Source organism: Homo sapiens, chromosome 4 (assembly GCF_000001405.40).
Source record: "Homo sapiens chromosome 4, GRCh38.p14 Primary Assembly".
In the NCBI taxonomy this organism is placed as follows: Eukaryota; Metazoa; Chordata; class Mammalia; order Primates; family Hominidae; genus Homo; species Homo sapiens.
Window position 1 is genome coordinate 6,896,954 of NC_000004.12, and position 27,391 is coordinate 6,924,344.

Below are 27,391 nucleotides of genomic sequence, written 5' to 3' on the forward strand. Positions count from 1 at the left end.
CTCCTGTGCCCCCAGTGTATTTTTTTTGTTTTTTTGTTTTTTTGAGACGGAGTCTCGCTCTGTTGCCCAGGCTGGAGTGCAGTGGCGCAATCTCGGCTCACTGCAAGCTCCACCTCCTGGGTTCACGCCATTCTCCTGCCTCAGCCTCCTGCGTAGCTGGGACTACAGGCGCCTGCCACCACACCCGGCAATTTTTTGTATTTTTAGTAGAGACGGGGTTTCACTGTGTTAGCCAGGATGGTCTCGATCTCCTGACCTCGTGATCCGCCCATCTCGGCCTCCCAACATTCTGGGATTACCGGCATGAGCCACCGTACCCAGCCCCCAGTGTATGTTTTTATAACATTTGCCACAGTTGCAGTATCTTTCTGATTCATGTGAATATTTGATCAGCATCTCCCTTTCCCGCTAAGACCACAGATTTCCACAAGGGTGGGACTCCACCTGCATTTTTTTGTGTTTTTTTTTTTTTTGAGACGAAGTCTCACTCTGTCACGTAGGCTGCAATGTGGTGGCGTGATCTCAGCTCACAGCAGCCTCCACCTCCCGGGTTCAAGCAATTCTCTGCTTCAGCCTCCTGAGTAGCTAGGATTACAGGTGCCCTCCACCTGCATTTGCTCTCCTTGTGCCTGGCTCTGAGAACTTGTGAATGGGTGAACATGTTCTCCCTGCAAACCTGGTATTCTGTTCTCCTGAACTACCTTGTTTTAATGAAATTGTTTGATTGTAAAGGATATAATAAGATGATAGAAAATTTCAAAATTAATAAAAAGTGTAAAGTACACATGCTAAAAACTCTACTACAGGCTGTTTTCTGTGGACATTTTTCACAATTGACAGCATTCCTTAGGTCTAATTTTACATCTTACTCTGTGAGCGAGAAGGTCACAGAGTTAAACAACTCATGCCATTCATGCCATTAAGATATTCTAAAATCTTGGCCGGGTGCAGTGGCTCACGCCTATAATCCTAGCACTTTGGGAGGCCGAGGCGGGTGGATCACCTGAGGTCAGGAGTTTGAGACCAGCCTGCCCAACATGGAGAAACTCCACCTCTACTAAAAATACAGAAATTGGCTAGGTGTGGTGGCACACACCTGTAATCCCAGCTATTTGGGAGGCTGAGGCAAGAGAATTGCTTGAACCTGGAAGGCAGAGGTTGCAGTGAACTGAGATAGAGCCACTGCAGTCCAGCCTGGGCAACAGAGTGAGACTCCCTCTCAAACAAATTAAAAAATTAGGCTGGGCATGGTGGCTCACACCTATAATCCCAGCACTTTGGGAGGCCAAGGTGGGTGGATCACCCGAGGTCAGGAGTTCAAGACCAGCCTGCCCAACATGGTGAAACCCCATCTATACTAAAAATACAAAAAATTAGCTGGGTGTGGTGGCGGACGCCTGTAATCCCAGCTACTCAGGAGGCCGAGGCAGGAGAATCACTTGAACCCGGGAGGCAGAGGTTGCAATGAGCCAAGATCGTGCCACTGCACTCCAGCCTGGGTGACAGAGCTAGACTCCATCTCAAAAAAAAAAAAAAAAAATTGAAAAATTAAAATAGGCCAGGCATGGTGGCTCACGCCTGTAATCTCAGCACTTTGGGAGGCTGAGGAAGGTGGATCACGAGGTCAGGAGATCGAGACCATCCTGGCTAACACGGTGAAACCCCGTCTCTACTAAAAATACAAAAAATTAGCCGGGTGTTGTGGCGGGCGCCTGTAGTCCCAGCTACTCGGGAGGCTGAGTCAGGAGAATGGCGTGAACCCAGGAGGCGGAGCTTGCAGTGAGCTGAGATCGCACCACTGCACTCCGGCCTGGGCAACAGAAAGAGACTCTGTCTCCAAAAAAAAAAAAAAAAAATTAAAATTAGTAAAAAATAAAATCTCTCACCTAAAGGATGCTTCACATCATGAGGCAGGGCTGACACTTGGCCACACCTTTACTGGACATTCCAGCTGTTTCCCACTGAAACTCAATAACCACAATCATTTATGCATAAACAAATGCTTTGCAAACCGTCTCAGCCAGATGAGGCGGCTTCCTGGAAGAAACAGGCACATTCGAGAACCTTTACTGTTTGCTACAGCACAGAACAGGCTGTAGGAGAGGTTCCCAGTGGGTCCTGGGTGGGAGACAATAAAGGTGGGTTCTTGGCCTTGGTCTTCCTTCACTCTGTAACTTTTTCTTCCCTGGGCCTCAGTTTCTCCATCTGGAAAATGAGGAGTTGGCCGTGTGATAGATGTAAATTAATAAACCTACACTCTACTCATCATCACAAAGCAGCCACTACCTGTCCTGGTTGGCTACTAACACTCCAAATTATTCTGTCTCATATAACTTCCACTTAGTCTGTGAGCATTCTTTTTTTTTTTTTTTTTTTGAGACAGGATCTGGCTCTGTCGCCCAGGCTGGAGTGCAGTGGCACAATCACAGCTCACTGCAGCCTTGAACTCTGGGGCTCACACAGTCCTCCCACCTCAGCCTCACTAGTAGCTGAGACAACAGGCATGTGCCACCATGCCTGGTTACTGGTTAATTTTTTTTTTTTTTTTTAGAGATGGGGTCTCCCTTTGTTGTCCAGGCTGGTCTCAAACTCCTGAGCTAAAGCCATTTTCCCATCTCAGCCTCCCAGAGTGCTGGGATTACAGGCGTGAGCCACCGTGCCTGGCCTAGGGAATGTTTTTTAAGCTCCTTTTCAGAGGTGAGAAAACTGAAGCTCAGAGACGTTGCTTGCACCACTTGTAAGCCACAGATCAGGAAGCTCTAAAGCTCCAACTCATAACATTTAGAAAAGAATGACTGAAAGGAAATGTACCCATATTTCAGTGGTTACCTCTAGAAAGCAGTATTACAAGTACAACGTATTTTCTTCTTTGAACACATCTGAATTTTCCATTTTTGTTGTTGTTTTTGAGACGGGGTCTTGCTCTGTTGCTCAGGCCGGAGTGCAGTGGTGTGATCTCGGCTCACTGCAACCTCTGCGTCCTGGGGCTCAAGTGATCCTCCCACCTCAGCCTCCCAAGTAGCTGGGACTACAGGCGCGCAACACCATACCCGGCTAATTTTTTGTATTTTGGGGAGCTGAGGTGAGGGGTTTAGCCGTCCATTAAAAAAATGCTGTGGGCCAGGCATGATGATTCAGACCTGTAATTCCAGCACTTTGAGAGACAGAGGTAGGAGGACTGCTTGAGCCTAGCAGTTTGAGACCAGCTTGGGCAACATAGTGAGATCCTGTCTCTAAAAAAAACCAAAAATGTAGCTGGGCATGGTGGCATGCACCTGTGGTCCCAGCTACCTGGGAGGCTGAGGTGGGAGGATCACTTGAGCTTGGAGGTTGAGGCTGCAGTGAGCCGTGATGGCACCACTGCACTCCAGCCTGGACAACAGAAAAAAAATGCTGTGAGAAAGGGTGGGAGGCAGTGTAGACCGGTGTGTGTAGACCACTCTTTCTGGAAGCTTGACCATGTGGGGTTGGAGAGAAGTGGGTGCAGCTGGCAGGCCACGAGGAATAAGCCTTGGAAGGGTTTCTCCTTCAGGCAGGGGCAGCTGAGTCTGAGTCTAGGCTGAAGGCAGGTGCTGGTGATGAGGAGAGGCCTGAGCTCCGGGGGCGGAGGCTGGAGGCTGGGTTGGCTGTGGGTGTGAGGAGCCTGCTGTTCCTGGGCCTCCAGGGAAGGTGCTTGGTGGACCCTCAGGGAGGCGAGGTGAGTGGCTCCTTCCTTCCCTGCCCTGAACCCCAGCCCCCGCTGTGTTTCCAACCCCAGGCCCACCTGTTCTGGGTTTCTACCTTGCGGGGAGGATGATTCTGTGTTTGTTGGGTGAAGCTCGGATCTTCCAGGAGGTCCAGGCTCCCCGGGACTGGGAATGTCTGGAGATGAGATCCTATAACCTGGACCCACCAGCCTCCAACTGTCCTGAGCTCCTGTGTGCCAGGGTGGGCTCACAGTCTAATGGGGGACGCAGAGGGTCAGACAGTGCTAGAGGCCATGGAGTGGGACCGGGACAGGCAAATGTCTAGGAGAGGCGAATGTCTAAGGGCTGGGAGAGGGACACTCACGGAAAAGACTGGAGACCACAGGGCCAGGCCCCGGCCCCACCCACACCTCCAGACGGCACCCTTCATGGTGTGCTCCTTGGCAAATCTCTTGGCCAGTTTTGGAGTTCAAAGGCAGTCCCACCCGCTCCCTGTTGTGTGGGAGGAGGAGGACTGGTCATTCAGCAGACATTTACTACCAAGACCTTCCCCGGCTGTGCGGCGCGGGGCTGGGAGCCCTGAACTCTGCTGCTGCCTCCAGCCACAGAGGGGCCTTGGAGGCCCCTCTGGAGGGAGTAGCCAGGCTCTGCCAGGCATGGGCAGTCAGGGGAGGGGTGGGGAGGTACGTGGCAGGAGCACGGTTGTGATGGCCGGAGAAGGTAAGAGGGAGGTCCGGGCAGGGGAACAGGACAGGGGAAGCTTGGACTGGTGCATCCAAGACTGGTGTGCTTAGAAACTGCACATCAGACGGGGTGGGAGAGTGAAGGATGGGGTTGCAAGTTTAGGCTGGAGCCAGGTTTGGGAGGAGGTACAGGAAGGATCGGGGCTGATGGCCCCACAGAGCATCTTGGTGGCCTTGGTGGGTAGAAATGAAGCGGCATTGGAGGTGGATGTGTTTCTGTCTACTGTGTCGCCCCAGCCTGCCCCAGAAATATGAGGTCCCTCCTCCTGGGACACTGGGTGGCCCCTGCCTTGCTCCTCTCTGGCCAACTCACCCTCACCCTTCCAGGCCCATCTCAGGCATCCCCTCCCCTTTACGTCCCCTCCCACCACCATTAAAACAAGAACAGATCCTACCCTGCAACCACTCTGTGCACAATGCCTGGCACGGGGGAGGCTTAGAACATCTGTGGGCAGATGGGCAGCTGCGGGGGCGTCTCCTGGCAGGTGGTCGTGGCTGAGAAGGAGGTCCCCGGGCCTGGGGCTCCAGTGAAGCCCCTGGGGCAGGGATGGGGAAGCTGAGGCCCGCTCCCGCCCTGAAGAGGAAGGGCAGCGGCTCTGGAGGGAGACAGGCAAGAAGGCACCCAAGAGTGTTTCCATGAGATCTGAGAACAGCCAGCTGCAGTGGGGAGGAAGGACAGGCCGCCGTGGGGCTGCGGGCAGGGAGGTTTCCGTGTGTGAGCCTAAGTGTCCTTTCTGTCCCTGCGGGTGTGAAGGTGAAGAGAGCGGACGCACACACCGTGCGGGGCTCAGCAAGCCTTGGCTGCTGTTCCCTCCTGTGGGGGCCCTGGGCTGGGTGCCAGGGTCCAGGAACACGAAGGCATTCAAGAACGCGGGGAGGGGCTGCGGGAGCCCAGGGGCAGCCGGGGGGTGGGGAGGCGGATGAGAGTCAGGAATGATTTCCTGAGGGTCAGAGCACCTGGGGGAACCGGCCAAGCACCGAAGGAAGTAGGGATGAGAGGAGGATGGGGGTCGCGCTGGGGGTGCAGGTCAGGGCACAGTGGGTGCAAAGGCAGGGATTCCAGAGAGTTTCGGGAACTTCTGGGGATGCCCGGGTGGTTCTGTGGGCCTGGGGAGACCTCAGGCCTGGTGACAAGGGACCTCACGTGTGGCGGGGCGGGGGTTCCCGCAGAGGACCCACGGGAGTGGGAAGGAGCTGGGCCTGCATCCCCTGCCCGCCTCTTCTCTTCAGCCCCCACGCAGCTCCACGTGAGCCCTGACTCCTGCCTGCTTCTAAATCGGGCTTTTCTTTGTGATGGTGGTGGCAGCAGGCAGCTGGGTGACGCCTTTAAAGATAAGGCTATTTGGAAAATTCCACTTTGGTGTGCTGTCACCTGGAGCCCCGTCCCCAAGCGCTTTCTGTTTTCTTAGCACCTAGAGCCTCATGGCCTCCAGCACTGGGCCTCTTAGGAATCACTGAGCCAGGGCCACTCGGGATCCCCCAAGTCTCCTCCCCCAACCTCAGGCCATGGGCTCCAGTCCTTGGAGGACCCGTTGTTTCATTACAACTTCTTTCTGGCCAGGCACGGTGGCTCACGCCTGTAATCCCAGCGCTTTGGGAGGTGGAGGCGGGCGGATCACCTGAGGTCGGGAGTTCGAGACCAGCCTGACCAACATGGAGAAACCCAGTCTCTACTAAAAATACAAAATTAGCCGGGCGTGATGTCGAATGCCTATAATCCCAGCTACTCGGGAGGCTGAGGTAGGAGACTCACTTGAACCTGGGAGGTGGCACAGGTTGCGATGAGCCGAGATCGCACCACTGCACTCCAGCCTGGGCAACAAGAGCGAAACTCTGTCTCATAAAAACAAAACAAACAAACCCTGATTTCTTCCAATCAATTACTTGGGATGCTGTGGGAATGAGTGACCTTAGGTTTTGAGCCAGATCTACCTGGATTCAAGTGCCCCCAGTACAATGGAGGCATTGGGGCTGAGATGCTGTGGAAGAGGGCAGGTCACACAGCCCAGCAGACACACAACTCTACTAGCCTCGCTCCCAGTAATGGCAAAGATTGTTTGGCCTGGTGTTGATTCCTTAACCTCCTGGAGCTTGAGTTTTCCCATTCATAAAATGGAAGCCGTACTTGTCTTGCTTCTCTCGGCCTTGGGGAGACGGCTGGGAACCCTTGCCTGATGGCCCCAGGTTCCTGTGCTTCTCTAGGCCTGCTGTTTACCCATCAGTGAGCGCAGCATATAGCATAAATACAGCATATGTTTGTTGCGAGCAAATTTAAAAGTCAAAAAATATAAGCAGGCCAGCCGCAGTGACTATTGCCTGTAATCCTAGCACTTTGGGAGGCCAAGGTGGGTGGATCACTTAAGCTCAGGAGTTTGAAGTTAGCCTGAGCAACATAGCAAAACCCTGTCTCTACCAAAAAAAAAAAAAAAAAACCCACAAAAAATAGGCCTGGCTCGGTGGCTCACGCCTGTTATCCAAATACTTTGGGAGGCCGAAGCAGGTGGATCACCTGAAGTCAGGAGTTCAAGACCAGCCTGGTCAGCATGGCGAAACCCTGTCTCTACTAAAAATATAAAAATTAGCCAGGCGTCTGTAATCCCACCTACTTGGGAGGCTGAGGCAGGAGAATCGCTTGAACCTGGGAGAGCGGAGGTTGCAGTGAGCTGAGATTGCACCATTGAAATCCAGCCTGGGTGACAGAGTAAGACTCCATCTGAAAAAAAAAAATAATTAGCCAGGTGTGGTGGGGCATACCTGTAGTCCCAGCTACTTGGGAGGCTGAGGTGGGAGGATCACTTGAGTCTGGGAGGCAGAGGTTGCAGTGAGCACTGCACTCCAGCCCGGGCGACAGAGCAAGACCCTGTCTCAAAAACAACAATAACAAAAATGGCAAATTCAGATGTGTCCAAAGAAGAAAATACGTTGTACTTGTAATACTGCTTTCTAGAGGTAACCACTGAAATATGTGTACATTTCCTTTCAGTCATTCATTTCCACATGTTATGCATATCTTGAGTTGGAGCTTTAGAGCTTCCTGATCTGCGGCCTATGAGTGGGGCAAACAACCTCTCTGAGTTTCAGTTTTCTCATCTCTGAAAAGGAGCTTAAAAAACATTCCCTAGGCCAGGCACGGTGGCTCACGCCTGTAATCCCAGGACTCTGGGAGGCCGAGGTGGGAGAATTGCTTTGGCTCAGGAGTCTGAGACCAGCCTGGGCAACAAAGGGAGGCCCGATCTCTACAAAAAATAAAAGATTAACCAGGCATGGTGGTGTGCCTCTGTAGTCTCAGCCACTGGCGAGGCTGAGGTGGGAGGATTGTGTGAGCCCTGGAGTTCAAGGCTGCAATGAGCTGTGATTGTGCCACCACACTCCAGCCTGGGCGACAGAGCCAGACCCTGTCTCAAAAACAACAACAGAAAAAGCCCGCAGGCAGCAGATACTTGCCTGAGCTGGGATGCCCATGTTGGTGTTTCTTCCCATCTTCTTTGATTGCTGTGAATGGAGTGCATTCACATACTTTGATTACACTTGGGGAGCTTCCACATTTCCTCTGTGCTGTCAATTCTTTTTTTTCTTTTTTTTTTTTTTGAGGTGGAGTCTCACTCTGTCACCCAGGCTGGAGTGCAGTGGTGCGATCTCGGCTCACTGCAGGCTCTGCCTCCTAGGATCATGCCATTCTCCTGCCTCAGCCTCCCTAGTAGCTGGGACTGGGACTACAGGCGGCCGCCACCACGTTGGCTATTTTTTTGTGTGTTTTTAGTAAAAGCGGGGTTTCACCGTGTTAGCCAGGATGGTCTTGATCTCCTGACCTCGTGATCCGCCCGCCTCAGCTTCCCAAAGTGCTGGGATTACAGGCGTGAGCCACCGCGCCCAGCCCAATTCTTTAAAGATTTTTCTGATGGCTCCTTTTGAGTTACTCCATTCCCGTCCCTCATTGCTGGACGTGTACATTATGTCTATGTTACCTTTGTAACATGTGACTGCTGCCACTTTATGAATGGTAAAACTGTGGTGAACATTTTTTGATGACAGTCTGCCTCAACTTGGGGGTCATTTTATAAAAGGATGGCTCCCTTCGGTTGTGTCATGAGACCAAAGGGATTCTGTGTGTTAGAAAGTTTTCGTTAGTGCCACCTTTGGCTGCACCCATACCTTTACCCTTTGGTGAATGCGCGGCTACTAGGAGTTCTGCCTCCCTGAATTTGCTGCTCTGAATGGACTGCAAGCTAGGACACAGGTAAGTGCCTTTGTTAACCGTGAGATGCCAGCGGCTGGGCTCTGGCGTGCGGGCCTGAGTGCTGCTGCTTGCCGCCAAGTGCAGAGGTTCTCGGAGGCTCCGCTGGCTATTTGGCACTTTTCCATTTCGGTGTCTCTTGCTGCCTTCTGTGTGCCTGAGGTTGCTGATCTGCAGCCATCTGGGCTATTCCTGCCTTTGTTTTTTTCCTCATACTGCTCAATTTCCAGAACCAACAAGAGAAACCTCAATTCCAGGCATTGTGTCCTAAAAATGAGAAGTCCTGTCTCCATGGTGAAGGAGATGACACTCCAAGTTATGGAGGCAGAAAGGATCTGCTTCTTCATGGACTGCTGACAGTCTTTGGGCCAAAGGGAAGCTCTTTTGAAAGAAATTAATGCTTCTCAAGCTGCCCCTAACCCATAGGGATGGGCCCATTGCCCAGTTGAGCTCCTTGTGTGGCATCACAGCTGCTGTTAGTTTTATTCATGCTGTTGCCCTTGGTGGCTCTGAGCTGGGGCAAGGGGATTGGGAGGGAGGATGGAGACTGGGCAGCAGCTTCTGGACGCGGGGGGCAGAGCTGGGAGCCCTGGGCTGAGTGGCCTCACCACCTGGTGCCTGTGTCCTTGCCTGGAAAATGAGAGTCCAGGTGCCAGCTTGGCAGCTTGTGTGGATCAACTGTGGTAATAGAGGTGAATCAGCCAGCACAGCCCAGGGCACCTGGGATGGTTCCAGGTAGAGACACAGGTACCAGCAAAATTCATGCACCCTCCACAATGGAGCTCACATCTAGGGGCTGAGAAAAGGCTGGGGCAAAATGCGTGTTGGGGAAACTAGATAGATCCCCATATCTCCTGAGATGCGGGGGTGCTCGGCAGGGCAGGAAGCCCCTGGCTTCACTGTGTGTGCACCTCCCACCCCCCTGAGCTTGGGCCATTCCTCACACCTCTCTGTGGCCTCAGTTCTCCCTCTGAATAGTCAGAGGGGACTTGATGCCAAGGGTCCTGCCAGCTCTCACGCCTGCTGATGACTCTCCTGGGGCGTGCATCTGGTCAGATAACCATTTTCCTTGCAGGGGAACAAGGCTGCATTTTTCTTTTCTTTTCTTTTTTTTTTTTTTTTGAGACAGGGTCTCGCTCTGTCACCCAAGCTGGAGTGCAGTGGTGTGATCTTGGCTCCCTGCAACCTCTGCCTCCCCAGCTCAAGCGATCCTCCTGCCTCAGCCTCCCAAGTAGCTGCAACTACAGGTGTGTGCCACCAAGCCCGGCTAATTTTTGTATTTTTTTGTAGACAGGCGGCTTTGCCATGTCACCCAGGCTGGTCTTGAACTCCTGGACTCAAGACATCTGCCCACCCTGGCCTCCCAAAGTGCTGGGATTACAGGCATGAGCCACGGTGCAGGGCCAAGGCTGCATTTTCAAGATGCCACCTCTGTCCGTCCTGGAAGCCCTGAAAGAGCAGGAGTTGTGGGCTGTGGGTCACCCTGGGGTCCCTAGCACCCAGCCCGAGCGGGCAACGAGCGGGTGCTCAGGGCTGGCTTCCATGGACACTGAACACCCTGGGAAAGGCACTCCCCTCCCCAACTGCAAGCTGAGCTGGCTCCTTCCTGCCTAGCAAGCTTCGGAAGGCTCCGAGGTCAGGCTGGAAAAGGTCCCTCAATGGGGTGTCCGAGGAGAAGGGGGGCGTGCCAAGAGTTCTCCAACCATGCTAGGAACTTTCATTTCATTTAGACTTGTTTAATCCTCACTACAACTCAACTTGGGAGGTGGAGACGCCATGTTTCTTGTACAGGTGGGAAGGTTGGGGAGGAGCAGGGAAGCCTTCCGGGAGACCTGAGGAGTTAGCCAGCCCAGCGGCTCCCATGCGTAGGTCCTTTGCCTGGAACTGATGAGAGGGAGCTAAGAGGCCTGGATCTTGTCCACACTAAGCGATGGCTTTACTGCGGGGAGATAATCCTTCTGGAAACCTCAGGTAGAGTCTGCATGGGGAATGAGATGGCTTCATCTAGCCAGTTATGATGGGGGTCTACGCCTCAGGACCAGCAGAGCTGAGATCCAGGGCTGACCGCCCTGATCCCGGGATTATCTGCACATCAGAGATGGGGGTGAGGGAGGTGCCGAAAGGTGAAGTGACCGCACACAGCCACACGGCTAAATCCTGCTCGCCGTGCTAATTTTGTCAGACTCAAGTTGCAATGAAGATTTGTCTAGAACACGTCTGGGCGCTGAGGGCAACAGGTAAGGCGTGGGTCAAATCACGCTGCGGATGCAGGTGACGACAGGCTCCGGGAGAGACGGAGTGGGCGCAGCAGGATGGCGAGTGAGGAAAAGGCAGGCAGAGGGCGCCAGGTGCAAATCTGCAGGACCACAGACTTCGGTTCTGGATACAGAACAATGGTTCCTTGTCATTGTAGGGTTTTAGACCCTAAGACTCGGAATTAGGGCTGGAAGGGATTTGGGAGCCCCAAGCAGATCTATTAATCCAACGCATTAAATTGCTAATTAAGTCACGACTGAAGCAGTCTGTACTTTTCCACTAGGGTTTACTTAGAAAAAGCTGGGGAGGCCTTGTTTTAAGAGGTATGAAGGAGGCCTCGTATTATTTTTACTTAAAACCCCCAGAAATTTAAGCATTTATAAAGTTTCTGTGATGCAGCACTGCGAGGGATGTTAATGTTTTTGCTTTCAAGAGATCGCCTTTAAAAATCTCTCTTGCTTCTGCGTCATATCTCATAGATGCTCAGGGTTTTTACAGCCATGAGCTGGAGAGGAGACCCAAGTTCGGGGTTCCCTAGCCCATCCCTAACGACCGCAGTAGAGACAAATCTTCCATTTCATGCTTCCAGATGCTTCCTGTAATGCGGAAACTCCTCCTGCCCCTGACCTTTCTGAGTGGCTGAGTCTTCCCTTAGATTGGGCTGCAGTCAGTCTCTCCCGGGTTTCCTCTCTGGTAATTTATCTGCCAGTGACAACCCTCAGGGCTCCTGGTTGGCAGGAGCCAAAGCCAAGTGGAAATCCAGGACTTCTGGCTCCCAGCGCTGGGTCTCTCCTCTTGCCCTCAAGTCCCCAGAGTCTAACGACAACCCAATAACGTCAAATACCAACTATTTGCCAGGCCCAGGGAAAATAGCAGTAAACAAGATAAGCCCGGCTTTCCTCATGGAACCCACAGCCTAGAAGGGGAATGGAGACCCACTGCCCGTCAACAGGGGCTCCTCACATACTCTCTACCAGCTCATGGAGGGCTCTGGGGCAGGGAACCTGGCTTCTGCCCCTCTCAGCTACTGACCCACCCGGGTCCTTGGGCGGAGGGCTTCATCTCTGAGCCCGTTTCCCGCTTTGTACAATGGCTCTGATCATAGATCCCGTCTCTGGAGTTTGTGCAATGTTGAGGCCAAATATGCAGATAACGCCAGGCCAGTGGCTTCCAAACCCGCGTGCACATTACACAGCTTCCCAAACTGATGATGCTTCCATCTCATCTTCAGAGACTGTGACTTAATCGGCCTGGGCTTCAGAATATTAAAAGCTCCGCAGGCAATACTAAAGTGCAGACCAGTTTGGGAACTACAGCGCCAGGCACCGTGTCACAGCGCGATAAGAGAGAACGTTCGGAAAAGCCCTTTATAGATTAAGAGACTGAGGCTGGCTGGGAGGACGCCACGGCGCCGCTCCCAAGACCACCGCGGCGGGGCCTGAGCTCCGGTGTCACGCAAAGCTTCCCTTCCGCGGCGGGGCCCGGGCCGTCTCCCGCACACCGGCCGGGGCAGGGGAGCCCCATCGATGCGCTCCGCCGCTCGGCTCCCTACGCCTGAGCCCTGCCCGCTCGAGCCCCTTCCCCCTCCCGGCCGCTTCCCACTTCCAAGATGGCTGCGGGTGGAGCCGACCAGGTAAGGGGCCCCCTGTCGGATGTCCGTGGGGGCCCTGCGGGCACAAAGGCCCGCTCAAGGCAGCTCCTCGCCACTCCGGTTGGTTCTCCGGCAAAAAAAAAGGGCCGGCGACGCCGCTCCGGAGGCCCGCGGCGGGCGGCCCCCGGAAGAGGGACAGCCGGGCGAGCGCCGAGCTCCAGACGCGGCGGCACGGGCGGAAGAACGGGCGCGGGCCGGCAGGGGGCGGGGCGCAAGTGCGTGGGGGCGTGCCCAGGGGGCGGGCGAGGGGGCGGGGCGAAGCGAGGGTGCGCGCCGCTGTTCGCCGCGGGCTGCTCGCGCGCACCTGCGGGTCGGACCCGCTGCCTACCGCGTGCCCGGCGTCCTCGTCGCGCGAGTTGCCGGTCCCGCGGGGCCTGGGCTGCGGGCCCACGGGTCCCGGGGATGGCGTCGGAGCCGCGCTAACTCCGGTACTGAGAGCCTCCCGCGAGGGCCGGGCCGCGGGCCGCGAGGGAGGGCAGGGCGCGCGGGGCCGCCACCTGCTGCAGCGCCGGCCGAGGCGGGGAGCGGCCGGGGCGAGGCAGGTCGCCGGGCGCGGGTCCTGCTGGGTGTCCCTCGCCGCGCGGCCGCGGCTCCTGCACGCCAGGGCAGCGCGTGCGTGGCGCCCGGGGTGCCGTTACGGGGCCTCCGGGGCGGGGGCGACTCTCGGGACTCGGCGGCCCTCGCGGAGGCGCGCGCTGTGTCCCGCTCCTTTACGGAACTTGACGAAAAGTTTTCCTACTCCGACGCGAGGCTCCCGGCCTGAGAAGAGGCGCCTCGGTGCGCCAGACCCCGACCCCGGAGCCCCCTTCCACCTCGGACCCTCAGTCCCCAGGCAGCGGACCCTCCTCCTTGGAGCCCCTGACCCCGCTTTCATCTCTGACCCCTCTACCCCTGGAGCCCCTGACCCGCGAAACCCCCTTTCATCTCGGAGCCCTGACCTCCTTGGACCTCCACCCACGCGAACCGTCTGTCCCTGGGCTAGGGAATCTCTCTGCCTCCGCCTTGGAGCCTCCCATTACCGGGCCGCGAAGACCCTGGCCCGGGGACTGTCTCGGGGCCGGGGTAGCTGCCTTGAGGAGTAAGTCCGGGGACTCCTGGTCTCCCTCCCGCCAGGAGTCTCTCTAGGCTGTGGGTTGCGGTCCTGATGGGAACAGCTGGTCAGGAGGATAGGAGAATGACCCTGTGGACTCCAGAGCCAGCCTCTGCGAGCCCCGGGGTGACCGCGCCTGACCAGGCCACGTGAAGTCGTTTCTGTCCTAAAGTTGCATAGGACGCCGTTTTCTCTAGCGTGGAATTGGAAGCTTTGCTTGGGAAGGTTTTATAGGCACCGGTGCGTTTTGCCCCTACTGGAGGTCCCTGGGCATCACCTTGGTTATTTCACGCACTGAGGCTAGATGAGGAGGGTAGTCGTGGTGGTGTCTTGGGGACAAAATGCTCACTGTCTTGTCCCCAGTATTGTAGGATGTTGGCACCTAGTTGCTGTCTTGCCTAGCTTTTATAGCGGTGGGTTGCCTGTTGGAAACTGGTGGTTGCTTTGTCTGGACCGGGCTAGTCCTTACAGCAGTCTTAGAACACTTCCTGTTGCCCAGTTTATCTGGCCAGTACCAACCCATATCTCAGTTTGGGTATGGCTTCCCCCCTCCGACCAACCCTCTTACTGCTTCTTTGCTGTGTGTTTGACCCCTTGAGATTGTGGGCTCCGCAATCCTAATGAGATCCCCAGTCCTAATGAGAGCCTGGCATGAACTTGGTGCTCAGGGTCATTGGGCGAAAACACCTTTTGGGAAACATCAAGGGTGTCAGCTGGTACTAAGGGAGACAGAGTAACTGGCTGGGAGCCACCCACATGGGGAGAGTCAGAGATGGGATTCAAACTGAGGCAGGCTACTGGGCCAGGCTCTGCTCACCTCGGTATCCTCCGCTGTTCCAGCACTTTGCACCGAGCTGGGCCTGATTCCTGTTTGTGCAACTGAGTTTTCACCGTCTGCCCCCAGCCTACCCTCTCACATTCAGCTTGGGCTTTGCCTCTCCTGGCTTCTGCTGTTCCCCTGTGTTCCTTTAGCCCCTGCAGTTCCTCTGCATTGGGTCCGCTGTCTCCACCCCACTCCCCGTTTAGTGGGTGAATTCCTGTCTTTCATGCCTCCACCTTCCCTCCTCTACTCTGGGTTGATTGCTTAGCTGGTGCGCTATAGAAGGCCTCTCTCAAAGTGGGGACACAGCTAGTCAGAGCAGCTTGTTTGAATCTCTCTCTCCCGTTGGTCAGAGCTTCTAACCTTGAGTCCCAGCCTCAGCACAGGGGATGCCTGCCGTGCAGGTCGGGGGTTGCTTGGGGAGTCTTTGAGACCTTGGAAAAGATTTGTTGTCAGTATAAACATTAATACATAACGCAACAGGATTTTAGGAAAGTGAGTATGTGTTTGTTAACTTTAAAAAAATTTTTTTTTAGAGATGGGGTCATGGTATATTGTCCAGACTGGATCTGAACTCCTCGGCTCAAGCGATTCTCCCGAGTAGCTGCAGTTACAGGAACGCACCACCATGGCCAGCTTAACATTTGTTTTAGGACCACGTATAAATAAAGTTTCAGCTGGGCGCAGTGGCTCATGCCTGTAAACCCAGCACTTTGGGAGGCTGAGGTGGGTGGATCACAAGGTCAGGAGATTGAGACCATCCTGGCCAACATGGTGAAACCCTGTCTATACTAAAAATACAAAAATTAGCTGGTTGTGGTGGTGCGTGCCAGCTACTTGGGAGGCCGAGGCAGGAGAATCGCTTGAACCCGGGAGGTGGAGGTTGCAGTGAGCCGAGATCTCACCACTGCACTCCATCCTGGTGACAGAGCTAGACTCCGTCTCAAAAAATAAAAATAAAATAAAAAAAATAAAAAAATAAAAAATAAATTTTCTTGGGCCCGGGTGGTTTAGAATTCTTGATTGTCCATCTGGAAGGCTCTCAGGGACTGATCTGCTTGGCTAGTCACTTGGTTTTATAGATGGGGAAGTTGAGGCCCAGAGCTCCATCAGTATCACACGGCAGGTGTGAGGAGAGAGACTGGTGACAGGAAGAAGCTGTACATTGTGGCCTTGTAGACACAGACTGGCTGTGTCTGGCCTTGCTTATGCAACTGGTTGCTAAAATAGTGGGACTGAGTTGGCTGGCCCGATCCGTGTCCAGGAAAGAGTAACACCAGCCAACATTTTCCAGGGCTTTCCCTGTGCCAGGCACGATTTTAAGGGCTTTATGTGGATTTCTTCCCCTAATCTTGTCAACTGCCTAACAAGATAGGGTCTCTTACTGTCTTCATTTTGCTGCAAGGAAACCAAGGCTCGGGGAAGTTAAGAAATGAGTCCAAGCTTACACAGCTGGTGAGCGAAGGAGCTGGGACTTGAACCCAGGCAGCCTGCTGCTGGAACCTGCATTATTTTTTCCCTCCTGTTGATTTTGTTTTGTTTTTTGTTTTGTTCTGTTCTATTCTATTCTATTTTTTGAGACAGCGTTTCGCTCTTGTTGCCCAGGCTGGAGTGCAATGGTGTGAGATCTCGGCTCACTGCAACCTTTGTCTCCCAGGTTCAAGCGATTCTCCTGCCTCAGCCTCTCCAGTAGCTGGGATTACAGGCATGTGCCACCATGCCTGGCTAATTTTGTATTTTTAGTGGAGACAGGGTTTTGCTATATTGGCCAGGCTGGTTTTGAACCCCTGACTTCAGGTGATCCACCTGCCTGGGCCTCCCAAAGTGCTGGGATTACAGGCGTGAGCCACCACGCCTGGCCTATTTTATTTTTAAAACTTCATTTGCAGCCTAACAAACATACATAGAAGTGTAAGAATGGTTAAGTGTTCAGCTTATCGATGATCAGGGTTATTGGGTGAATATACCTTTTGGGCAACATTAAGGGAGCTGAGAGGAAGGGGGATAAAGTTTAGGGACTGCATTCATAAGTACGCCAGCAGGCCATGTATGAGCTTTGATGTCAGATCTGGTTTGAACTCAGTTTCTGTTGCTGTGTGACCTTGGGTGCGTGACTTAGCCTCTCTGAATCTCATAGTTTCCTCAGTGCCCTTGGCAGGCTTGTGATTATTAGAGCATGTGATGGCATCCCGCATGCTTGGTGCATGCTAAATGCTCAGTAAATTATTTCTCTTATGAATAATTAAGATTATAAACTATACCGGTTTTAAGTAGTCTAAATATCTTCCTAATGTATCATTTGCCTCCCAGTCACTTCACAGCTACTTAGGAAAATTAGTTAATTAGTAATTTACCAAATCACTAAGTGAAGCTGAAACATTTTGCATTGAAAGTCTTTAATTTAAAATGTCCTGGCCAGGCGCTGTGGCTCATGCCTCTAATCCCAGCAGTTTGGGAGGTTGAGGAGGGTGGATCACTTGAGCTCAGGAGTTCAAGACCAGCCTGGGCAACATGGTGAAACCCTACCAAAACAACAACAACAACAACAAAAAATTAGCTGGGTGGACGTGGTGGCGGGCACCTGTGGTCCCAGCTACTCAGGATGCTGAGGTGGGAGGCTCACTTGAGCCTGGGAGGTGGAGGTTGCAGTGAACCAAGATCATACATCTGTACTGCAGCCTGGGTGACAGAGACCCCATCTCAAAAAAAAAAAAAAAGTTCCACCTGTGCCTTTAATCATAACCAGTGGTCAGTATAAGTTAAGTGTCCGCTTCTTCGGGTTGTGAAGGAGCCTTTGAGGACCCTGAACAATAACCGCAGTTTCTGCCTGGTTTGCCGAAACATACATGGGCTGAAACTTACTTAAACAGCATTGTGTTAAGTTCCAGGTGTCTGAAAGTTGCCACTCACCCTCTGGAGGAATATGTGAGCTTCTAGGAAATTTTTTTCAGGACTATTTTTATCCTAAAGAATCACCCATTTAAAAGCCAAACTACTTTTATAATGGCCTTTTCCATTTTACATAATGCAGATCAATCCACTGTTTTAGGCTGTGTGTGTAGCAGTGGAAACAGTGAGTGCCTCGGCTACTCAGGCTAGCCCGGCACAGCTCTGTTACTACGCACCACCCTTTAGACCGCAGTCTTCTTTCAGCTCTTTGGGTGGTTGTGGAGGTGACAGAACTAGTGCATATAGACATGGAATGCAGTGCCTGATGTGTCATCTGCGCTTGGGGAGCGGAGGCAGCTAGCTGGTCATGTTCGTGAGCCTGGAGCGTCCAGTCCTTTCTGCCTGAGCCAGGACTTGAATTAAAAAAGAGAAAGAGGCTGGGCTCAATGGCTCACATCTGTAATCCCAGCACTTTGGGAGGCTGAGGCAGGCGATCACTTGAGGTCAGGAGTTTGAGACTAGCCTGGCCAACAGGGTGAAACCCTGTCTCTACTAAAAATACAAAAATTAGCCGGGCGTGGTGGTGGGCGGCTGTAATCCCAGCTACTCAGGAGGCTGAGGCAGGAGAATCGCTTGAACCCGGGAGGCGGAGGTTGTGGTGAGCCCAGATCATGCCACTGCACTCCAGCCTGGGCGACAGAGTGAGACTCTGTCTCAGAAACAAAACAAAAAGAGAAAGAGATGCAGGGGTTGGTGCTTGTGGAGCCCTCTACCAGGCAGGCCAGTTCACAGGGAGGTGCCCCATTGCCCAGTGGGTTCTCCTTGGCATTAGAGGCTCGACTGGGCTGTTTCTCTTGAACCGTGCTGCCCTCCAGGGCAGGACGCTCATAAGAGCAGCTGCTTTTATGAGGAGGCTCTTAGTCTCCCCAGAATCCTCACCAGGAAACATGGGGGACCCTGAGAGGCCTTGCGGAGAATGCTGTGGGTGCTGGGGACAGATGCCTCAGGTCAACCCCCTGCGACCGGGGTAGGGGGTTGGGGGTCACTGCACCTGCTCAGCCCAGTTTTGTTATTCCCATCTGGAAACGGTAGAACTCAGCATGCTGTTTACAGGGTGAGGTGAGCAGAGGTGCTTATGTCTGTGACATGCCTTTGTGAGCAGCAAAGCTTACTGAGGGGCCTTGGAGTCACAGACTTGAGTTCAAGCCCAGCTCCGCCACAGTGGAGACCTTGGGCAGGCTGCATGCCTCGGTTTCCTCCTCTGGGTAATGGGCATACTACCTGGCTCACAGGGCTGCTGAGGGGCTGTGAGGCAGAACGGTGTATTTAGAGTTCAGGACGGTACCTGGTACTCATTAAATTGCCATCCTGCGGTGCTGCTGTGGTGGTGCTGTTAGGTGCTGCAGGCTGGTCTGCCCTCTGGAAATGTTGGCTCTGGGATCTGTATACCCTCAGGCCATCGTGGAGTAGGAATGAGCTGTGTGGGCCTGACCCTTAGGATAAGAACCCAGGCCTGGCATGGTGGCTCACGCCTGTAGTCCCAGCACTTTGGCAGGCCGAGGTGGGCAGATCACCTGAGGTCAGGGGTTCAAAACCAGTCTGGCCAACATGGTGAAATCCCACCTCTACTAAAAAAAAAAAAAAATGCAAAAAATTAGCCAGACGTGGTGGCGGGCGCCTGTAATCCCAGCTACTCGGGAGGCTAAGGCAGGAGAATTGCTTGAACCCAGGAGGCAGAGGTTGCAGTGAGCCGAGATTGTGCCACTGCGCTCCAGCCTGGGCAACAAGAGCAAAGCTCCATCTCAGGAAAAAAAAAAAAAAGGGATAAGAATCCGGAAGTCAGTGGCCAGAGCTGGGTTGATGGCAGGCTTGGCAGTGAAGGTGAGCGCACCACCCTTTGAGGATCAGATAGGACAGTGGTGCCCCCTTGCCATTGGGGTTTGAAGAGGCAGCTGTCCTGTGGAGCGTCCAGAGAGGAGCCGGGACAGGGAGTGCTTCGTGCTCCAGCCCTGCGAAGAGGCTTCCGGTGGATATCTACACAGACGGCAGCATGACTTCTCCCTGAAGCCACTAAGCGGATTTTTTTCCCCTGTGGGAACACACCTAGATCTCTTGGTTTGGCCTTGTAAACAGTTTCTTTTATGTATGAAGACTTTGGTTAAGACAGTTCCCACTGCTTTTTAAGGAGGAGAAAATCAAGCAGTTGCTTCTAGATGGAATTGTTTTCCAAAGCCCCACGCAGAGTCACTAGCAGAGCCACCCTCCGCTTTCTGACTTGTATTGAAGTGAAGATTGTGGCTCTGGTGGCGTGACAGTTGATTGAATCCCTCGGGGGCAGCTGTCCTCTTTGCTTCCTGCAGAACTGAGTCTTGTGACAGGTAAATACAATTCAGATGGCCTTGTTGCATGGAATGGAAACAGTCTTCCTCTTATCCGTACTTCACATCTTGTCTTTCTCTTGGCCGGAAGGTGATGACTCATCACCATTTGACTTGTGTTCAGTGCCTCCCGTGGCAGGGTGCTGGGTCAGGTGCTGGGGCGTTCCTCCTGTGCCTTGGGCACCTACGGATGCGTACTGCAGTGGTCACTGCTGCAGGGAGATGCTGTCACTAGGACGTTAGTGATTGGGACTTTGGAAAACACCTGTCAAGGCAGGAATTTTCACTTTCCTGACCATCATGTGTTGACAGCGTTCCTCACCATCTGGTCTAGCCCCTAACCAGTGTGTAGGCTGGTCACTGCTCAGCTGCTGGTGTGCACTCTCCGGGAACTTGATGGTAGGGGATTTCTTCCTCGTAGTCTCACCTCCAGCTCTCACCGAGTTCTTGGAACATAATCCAGCTCTCAGCAGATGTTTCTTGGCTGGGACTGTCCCTGGAAGCTGCCCACTTAAGAACTCAGTTGTTGGTAGTAATTAATTCAGCGAGTAGATTTTTGAAACCTTAATCCATGCCAGGCATTTAACCAGAGAATAGTTCCCAGAAATGATGAGAGCTGTGTCTGCCTGCAGCATAGAATGCAGTGGGGAGAGAGACAGGAGAACAGTTGTAAAATAGCTGTTTCAGGTGGGGTGTAGCCAAAAGGAGCCCAGGAGGAAGGAGGCCTGGGAGCTTTCTGGGAGAGGCAGGGAAGGCTTTTCAGAGGAGGTGGCCTTTGAAAGCACCAATTGAGTGTCTCCTTGTGCCACACCCTACTGGGACTCTGAGGCCCCGATGGCCTACCTGGGAGAGCACCTCAGGTGGTGGTGCAGTAGGGCTGAGTGGGCTGGTGGTGGGGGCGGGTAATGGCTGGGGGTGACTGCACAAGGCTGGAGAGGCAGGCAGAGACGGATCAGGAGGGCCCTGTGTGTCGGCTTGGGGAATTCAGGCTTAGTTTGTCTTTTATAAACGTGGACTTGGAGGCAGGCCATCTGCAGTTGGTCGGTCTCCTGGCTGGCGTCCAGAGTCCACCCATTAGCTTTGTCTCAGAAGCACACACCTTGTTTGTACAACTTCCCCTATAAAGGGTATTATCACGCGGTAGGTGGCCTGGAGTGCGGCTTCTGCCCTAGTGGCACGAGGCGGAAGTGCTTGAGGACAGGTCGCCTTGGCCCTTGCAGAGTTTGGTTTTACGGTATGTTGCAAGCGGAAGTACTTTTTCCTTTTTAGGTTTATTTCCCTGAAAACTGACGCCCTGTTCTGAGGTTTAAGGAACTTAACTGGAATTGGGATCAACAAAGACCTCAAAGGTCACTCAACTTCTCCATAGGAGAGGCCACTGGGCTGCTGTCCCTGGCCCCCCACCGCAGAGGAGAGGAGTAGAAAAAGGTTTTCTTTCTCTACTTAAAGCCAGATGGCTTTGGGCTCTGCCAGACCTCACTTCCTTCTTCCTGTGCTTTCTTCTTGGCGGCAATTCAGGGAAGGGTCCTTGGATTGCCATGAATGAAATCCTATAGTTTCACCAAAATGGTTTCCAATTCCAGGCGTGAGTGATGCCTTCTGTTTGCCCAGGCACTGATTTTCCTAGGAAGGATAGAGTTTTTTGTGTTCCTGTTTACTCTGTCATCAGCATTTGCGTTCTAACCCGCATCTCTTTTGTGGCTTACATTCGTGTTTTGCTGTACTAGGAAGTAAAGGGAAGCACACGTTCATTGGGCACCTGCTGTGTGTCAGTCAGGGGCTGGGTTTGCCAATGCCTTCAGCAGACCTTCTCATTTCTTTTGTCCTCAGACCAGCCTGTGAGCTATAGGGTATTGTCCCATCTTACTGCCGAGGAAGAGGGAAGTTGAGGCTCAGAAGGGTTAAGCACCTCATTTGAGGTCGCCTTACTTGGCAAGTGGCAGAGCCAGAATTTCAGCTGGGCCTGCGAGAGGCCCTCAGCTCTGTTTAGCATAGGATTTCCTCTTACATGTGTGGCTTTTTGCTAGTTTGATCTGCTGGAGTGTTGATGATGTTTTGATAATTCTAATGACCTTGACATTGTCAAAGATTAGCTCTTAACTGTGTGCTAAAAATGTTTCTTACTCTATTTTCCTTTTAATTAAAGTGTATGTAGAACTTCCAAATTTGTATATATTTGAATCATCCTGGATTATATCTTACTTTTGTGAATTCTCTTAGAATTCTGTTAGAAACTTGGATTCTTCCCAAGCAGGGGACACACAGAGGGTCTGCAGTAGCCCTGCCTTGGAGGGCTCACGGCTCTGGGGAAGAGCAGCGAGGGCTGTGAAACACTGAAAACGTGTTCACGCGTAGGGAGGCGATGTCCGGATTCTTTCAGATCTTGACCTGAGTTTTTGCTCTATAGGTTGGAGAAACATTTTATTTTTTGCAGCACCTGGGTAATTTCACCTTTTTTTTTTTTTAGACGGAGTTTTCTCTTGTTGGGCAGGCTGGAGTGCAGTGGCATCATTTCAGCTCACTGCAACCTCCACCTCCCGGGTTCAAGCTATTCTCCTGCCTCAGCTTCCCAAGTAGCTGGGATTACAGGCATGCACCACCATGCCCGGCTAATTTTGTATTTTTAGTAGAGATGGGGTTTCACCATGTTGGTCAGGCTGGTCTTGAACTCCTGACCTCAGGTGATCCGCCCGTCTCGGCCTCCCAAAGTGTTGGGATTACTGGCGTGAGCCACCATGCTGGCCTATAATTTCACTTTTGTATTAAATTCTACTTTTGTCTGTATTTTTGCCTTAGTGTAGTACAGTGTGGTTCTAATTTCTAAGAAAAATTGATTATCAATTACTATAACATTGTGATTAAATAATCCTCCTTTACTCACTGGGTCGTATTTCAAGTTTTTATTTTTTATATTTCTTTATATTTATTTATTTATTTTGAGATGGAGTCTCCCTCTGTCACCCAGCCTGGAGTGCAGTGGTGCTATCTCGGCTCACTGCAACCTCCGCCTCCTGGGTTCAAGCGATTCTCCTGCCTCAGCCTCCTGAGTAGCTAGGATTACAGGCGTGCGCCACCATGCCCAGCTAATTTTTGTATTTTTAGTAGAGAGGGGGTTTCACCATGTTGGTCAGGCTGGTCTCAAACTCCTGACTTCGTGATCTGCCCGCCTTGGCCTCCCAAAGTACTGGGATTACAGGCGTGAGCCACCGTGCCCGGCCTATTTATTTATTTTGAAATAGCGTCTCGCTGTGTTGCCCAGGCTGGAGTGCCGTGGCGCTGTCACAGCTTACTACTGTCTTGAACTCCTGGGCTCAAGAGATCTCCCTGCCTCAGCCTTCTCAGTAGCCGGGACTACAGGTGTGCACTACCATGCCTGGCTAATTTTTACTTTTGGTAGAGATGGGGGTCTCACTGTGTTGCCCAGGCTGAATCAAATATTTATATATAGTTGAGTCTATTTCTGAATTCTGCATTTCATTTAATTCCTTCACATTTCTATTTTTGACTCAGCGCTGCACTCTTACTGGCTCCTTCAATCTCTGGGAAGGAGGGAGATTAGTCCCCTCCCTTTCTCTCCTTTGTTTTTCTGGAGACAGGATTGTGCCCTGTTGCCCAGGCTGGAGTGCAGTGGTGATCATAGCTCATTGCTATGAGTCCTTGAACTCCTGGGCTCAAGTGGTCCTCCTGCCCCAGCCTCTTGAGTAACTGGGACTACAGGCATGAGCCACTGCACCTGGCTCCCCTTTTTCTGCTTTTAATGAATTTGCTTTTGCTGTGTTGACACTGAGGCAGGCCAGGCTTCCTAAAGTAGGAGCGTGCAGGCTCCTTACAAAAGCTGACGCCCAAGCAGGAGTGGTTATCATTCTTTCTTCTGTGCTTGAAAACCTTCAGCTCCTCTCTGTTTGATGATAGCAGCTACCAACAAAGTGCCTGTTGGGGGTCAGGTGCCTATTAAATGCTTTTCTTGTGGTACTTGATTTAATTCTCCCAAGGCAATATAGAGCCCAGGAGCGTGTGAGTCCAAAGCCCTGTTCTTTCTGTTGTTCTCTTGTATGGACCAGATTTGAATGCACCACCTGATTTCTTTTTTACTTTGAGACAGAGTTTTGCTCTTGTTGCCCAGGCTGGAGTGCAGTGGCGCGATCTCCGCTCACTGCAACCTCCACCTCCCGAGTTCAAGCAATTCTCCTTCCTCAGCCTCCTGAGTAGCTGGGGTTACAGGCATCTGCCACCACGTGCAGCTAATTTTTTGTATTTTTAGTAGAGATGAGGTTTCACCATGTTGGCCAGGCTGGTCTGGAACTCCTGACCTCAGGTGATCCACCTGCTTCGGCCTCCCAGTGTGCTGGGATTACAGGCGTGAGCCACTGCACCCGGCCATTTTAAAGAAAAATAAAAGATAGCAGTTGATGCCAGTGTTCTCAGTGTGCTGGGGCTGTGCTCTCCGGGCTGGTGTGCCACATACCCTCCCTTCCTCATTTGTCTTAGGCCAGAGAACTTTATTTTTTATTTATTTATTTTTGAGACAGGGTCTCTTTCTGTCATTCAGGCTGGAGTGCAGTGGTGTTATCAGGGTTCACTGCAGTCTTGACCTCCTGGGCGGGCTCAAGTGATCCTCCCACCTCAGCCTTTCAAGTAGCTAGGACCACAGACGTGCCACCACACCCAGCTAATTTAAAATTTTTTTTAAAGACAGAGTCTCCCATTGTTGCCGAGGCTTGCTTTTGAATTCCTAGGCCGAAGCGATCCTCCTGCCTCTACCTCCCAAAATGCTGGGATCACAGGCATGAGCCACCATGCCTGGTTAGGCCAGAGAACTTTATTTTTTATTTTTTTATTTTTTGAAATGGAGCCTCGCCCTGTCGCCCAGGCTGGAGTGCAGTGGCATGATCTTGGCCCACTGCAACCTCCACCTCCTGGGTTCAAGTGATTTTCCTGCCTCAGCCTCCATGAGTAGCTGGGATTGTAGGCATGCACCACCACACCTGGCTAATTTTTTTTTTTTTTTTTTTTTGAGACAGAGTCTTGCTCTGTTGCCCAGGCTGGAGTGCAGTGGCATGATCTCGGCTCACTGCAACCTCCACCTCCTGGGTTCAAGCAATTCTCCTGCCTCAGCTTCCCTAGTAGCTGAGATTACAGGCGCACACCACCACGCCTGGCTAATTTTTGTATTTTTAGTAGAGATGGGGTTTCACCATGTTGGCCAGGCTGCTCACAAACTGCTGACCTCTCGACCTGCCCGCCTCAGCCTCTCAAAGTGTTGGGATTACAGGTGTGAGCCACTGCGCCCGGCCATGCCAGAGAACTTTAGACATGCCCTTAGATGTGTGCGTGTGATTAATGGATTTTGTTTGTTTGTTTGTTTTTTTAGAGATAGTGTCTTTCTCTGTTACCCAGGCCAGAGTGCGGTGGTGTAATCATGGCTCACCACAGCCTTAAACCTCCCAGGCTCAAGTGATCCTCCCACCTCAGTCTTCAGAGTACCTGGGACTGCAGGCATGTGCCACCACCCCCAGTTGATTTTTTTTAGTCTTCTGTAGAGACAGGGTCTTGTTACGTTGCCCACGCCGCACTGACGGTTTTGACTCTACTCACTCAAACCTCGGAGGTTGTGGTCTTTACTCTTCCTTTATTGATTATCTTCACTGAGCTGGCCTTCTGACCTGGGTTTGTGTAATCCTAAACCAAGCCTTTCTAACCTACGTGTGGTCTCCTTTGGGGTCCCGTAGATCCCAGCTCTGCTGTTAAACAGCAGTGTGATCTTAGACCCGTTTCTTAGTCTTGCCGAGCCTTGGTTTCTTCCGTGGTAAAGGGGATACTACACCCAGCCTCGTAGATGTGAGTAAGCGTGACTGAAACATTTGTGGAGAGGCCTGGCTGCTGCAGATGGCATACATAATTTATTTTGTTGTTGTTTTCCGTCTTAATGAAGATATCTTAGGATTTTAATGCTGTCTCAGAACAAGTAGATCCTTGACTTATGTATGGGTTATGGATTCACATACTTTTGACAGATTATCATTTCACCACTCCCCCAAAAGAAAAAACCCAACCGCCGCCCCCCAAGCCCAGTCCTCACGCTCCTGGTGCTGCCCTGGGGATGGAGATGTGACTGGTAGGGAGCGTGATGATTATTTTTACTTCGGGTGCATCCTTTGTTTGGGTTATCTTCCTGCTATGTTATATCATGACAGTGTATGTTAAAACTCTAGCTTCTGGGCCAGGCGTGGTGGCTCATGCCCAAAATCCCAGCATTTTGGGAGGCCGAGGTGGGTGGATTGCTTGAGGTCAGGAGTTTGAGACCAGCCTGGCCAACATAGGGAAACGCTGTCTCTACTAAAAATACAAAAATTAGCTGGGCGTGGAAGCGCATGCCTGTAATCCCAGCTACCTGGGAGGCTGAGGCACAAGAATCGCTTGAACCCAGGAGGCAGAGGTTTGCAGTAAGCCCAGATGGCGCCACTGCCCTCCAGCCTGGGCGACAGAGCGAGAGTCTGTGTCAAAAAACAAAAACCACTTCTAGCTTCTGGACTTGAATCAAAACTTGGGTATGTGGAACCTTTTCAAGGCTTTCTCCCTTAAGTGAGATCAGACCATTTCAGCTGTGTGTCAGAGGTGTGGCATCTTTGAATTTTATATCCACTTTAATTTCCATGTTTGTGTTTTTTCTAGTTTCTCCTTGGACCAAGATGACTGATGGAAAACTCTCCACCTCTACAAATGGCGTAGCCTTCATGGGTATTCTGGATGGTCGACCAGGAAACCCCCTTCAGAACCTGCAACACGTCAATCTCAAGGCGCCCCGACTCCTCTCCGCGCCTGAGTACGGGCCCAAGCTGAAACTCAGGGCTTTAGAAGACCGGCACAGCCTCCAGTCCGTGGACTCGGGGATTCCTACCCTGGAGATCGGGAACCCGGAGCCTGTACCCTGCAGCGCGGTCCACGTGAGGAGGAAGCAGTCCGACTCCGACCTCATCCCCGAGCGGGCCTTCCAGAGCGCCTGCGCGCTGCCATCCTGTGCGCCACCAGCTCCTAGCAGCACCGAGCGGGAACAGAGCGTGCGCAAATCCTCCACGTTTCCCAGGACAGGCTATGACTCGGTAAAGCTCTATAGCCCGACCTCCAAAGCCCTGACCCGCAGCGATGATGTCTCCGTCTGCAGCGTGTCCAGTCTTGGGACAGAGCTGTCCACCACGCTGTCCGTCAGCAATGAGGACATCTTGGACCTTGTGGTCACGAGCAGCTCCAGTGCCATTGTGACCCTGGAGAATGACGATGACCCACAGTTTACCAACGTCACCTTGAGCTCTATCAAGGAAACCCGTGGCTTACACCAGCAGGACTGTGTTCATGAAGCTGAGGAGGGGAGTAAATTGAAAATATTGGGGCCATTTAGTAACTTCTTTGCAAGGTAATGCCATCTTTGCCCTCTAGAAGATCGTGGTGGTTGAGTCCAGACCAGTCTCCTTGTTCCTGTCTCAAATGTGTTGTGTGTTCTCTGTGGTGTTAGGCAGGCACTGTCTCACACAGATAATTGGGTCTTTTCCCAGAAGCCCGGAATCCTGTGGGATTGTGAGAACTGGTCTGTTGGGGATTCTGTTCTTCGGTGTCCCTGGCTCATTTGCAGTCTGTTGTCACATCTCT

General features: G+C 52.5%; 1 protein-coding gene across 11 annotated transcripts in view, besides 6 other annotated features; it reads left to right on the forward strand.

Moving 5' to 3' along the window:
- Positions 4,315 to 4,963: an enhancer, noted in NCBI's record as "H3K4me1 hESC enhancer chr4:6902995-6903643 (GRCh37/hg19 assembly coordinates)". NCBI's record gives its function as "activates a minimal SCP1, AML or CMV promoter by ChIP-STARR-seq in primed H9 embryonic stem cells {active_cell/tissue: H9 hESC(primed)}" and the evidence as "EXISTENCE:reporter gene assay evidence [ECO:0000049][PMID:30033119]".
- Positions 5,019 to 5,245: a silencer, noted in NCBI's record as "fragment chr4:6903699-6903925 (GRCh37/hg19 assembly coordinates)". NCBI's record gives its function as "represses an EF-1alpha promoter that drives an FKBP-Casp9 reporter gene in an ReSE screen in HepG2 liver carcinoma cells {active_cell/tissue: HepG2}" and the evidence as "EXISTENCE:reporter gene assay evidence [ECO:0000049][PMID:32094911]".
- Positions 12,240 to 13,299: a silencer, noted in NCBI's record as "silent region_15240". NCBI's record gives its function as "represses an Ori minimal core promoter by ATAC-STARR-seq in GM12878 lymphoblastoid cells {active_cell/tissue: GM12878}" and the evidence as "EXISTENCE:reporter gene assay evidence [ECO:0000049][PMID:35858748]".
- The window catches only part of TBC1D14 (TBC1 domain family member 14), a 123,649-nt gene continuing 108,770 nt past the window's right edge, over positions 12,513 to 27,391 (forward strand). For 6 of the 11 annotated variants that reach the window (XM_011513507.4, NM_020773.3, XM_005247986.4 and 3 more), the window contains exons 1-2: positions 12,873 to 12,998; positions 26,420 to 27,158. In XM_011513507.4, the coding sequence (XP_011511809.1) occupies positions 26,437 to 27,158 (722 nt within the window). In that variant the 5' untranslated portion in view covers positions 12,873 to 12,998; positions 26,420 to 26,436. Of the gene's footprint in view, positions 12,553 to 12,872; positions 12,999 to 13,296; positions 13,649 to 19,951; positions 20,982 to 26,419; positions 27,159 to 27,391 lie in introns of those variants that run through there. The other 5 variants (XM_011513508.2, NM_001113361.2, XM_017008477.2 and 2 more) reach the window with 3 other exon arrangements.
- Positions 13,540 to 13,609: an enhancer, noted in NCBI's record as "active region_21263". NCBI's record gives its function as "activates an Ori minimal core promoter by ATAC-STARR-seq in GM12878 lymphoblastoid cells {active_cell/tissue: GM12878}" and the evidence as "EXISTENCE:reporter gene assay evidence [ECO:0000049][PMID:35858748]".
- Positions 18,839 to 19,803: an enhancer, noted in NCBI's record as "H3K27ac-H3K4me1 hESC enhancer chr4:6917519-6918483 (GRCh37/hg19 assembly coordinates)". NCBI's record gives its function as "activates a minimal SCP1, AML or CMV promoter by ChIP-STARR-seq in naive H9 embryonic stem cells {active_cell/tissue: H9 hESC(naive)}" and the evidence as "EXISTENCE:reporter gene assay evidence [ECO:0000049][PMID:30033119]".
- Positions 19,804 to 20,768: an enhancer, noted in NCBI's record as "H3K27ac-H3K4me1 hESC enhancer chr4:6918484-6919448 (GRCh37/hg19 assembly coordinates)". NCBI's record gives its function as "activates a minimal SCP1, AML or CMV promoter by ChIP-STARR-seq in naive H9 embryonic stem cells {active_cell/tissue: H9 hESC(naive)}" and the evidence as "EXISTENCE:reporter gene assay evidence [ECO:0000049][PMID:30033119]".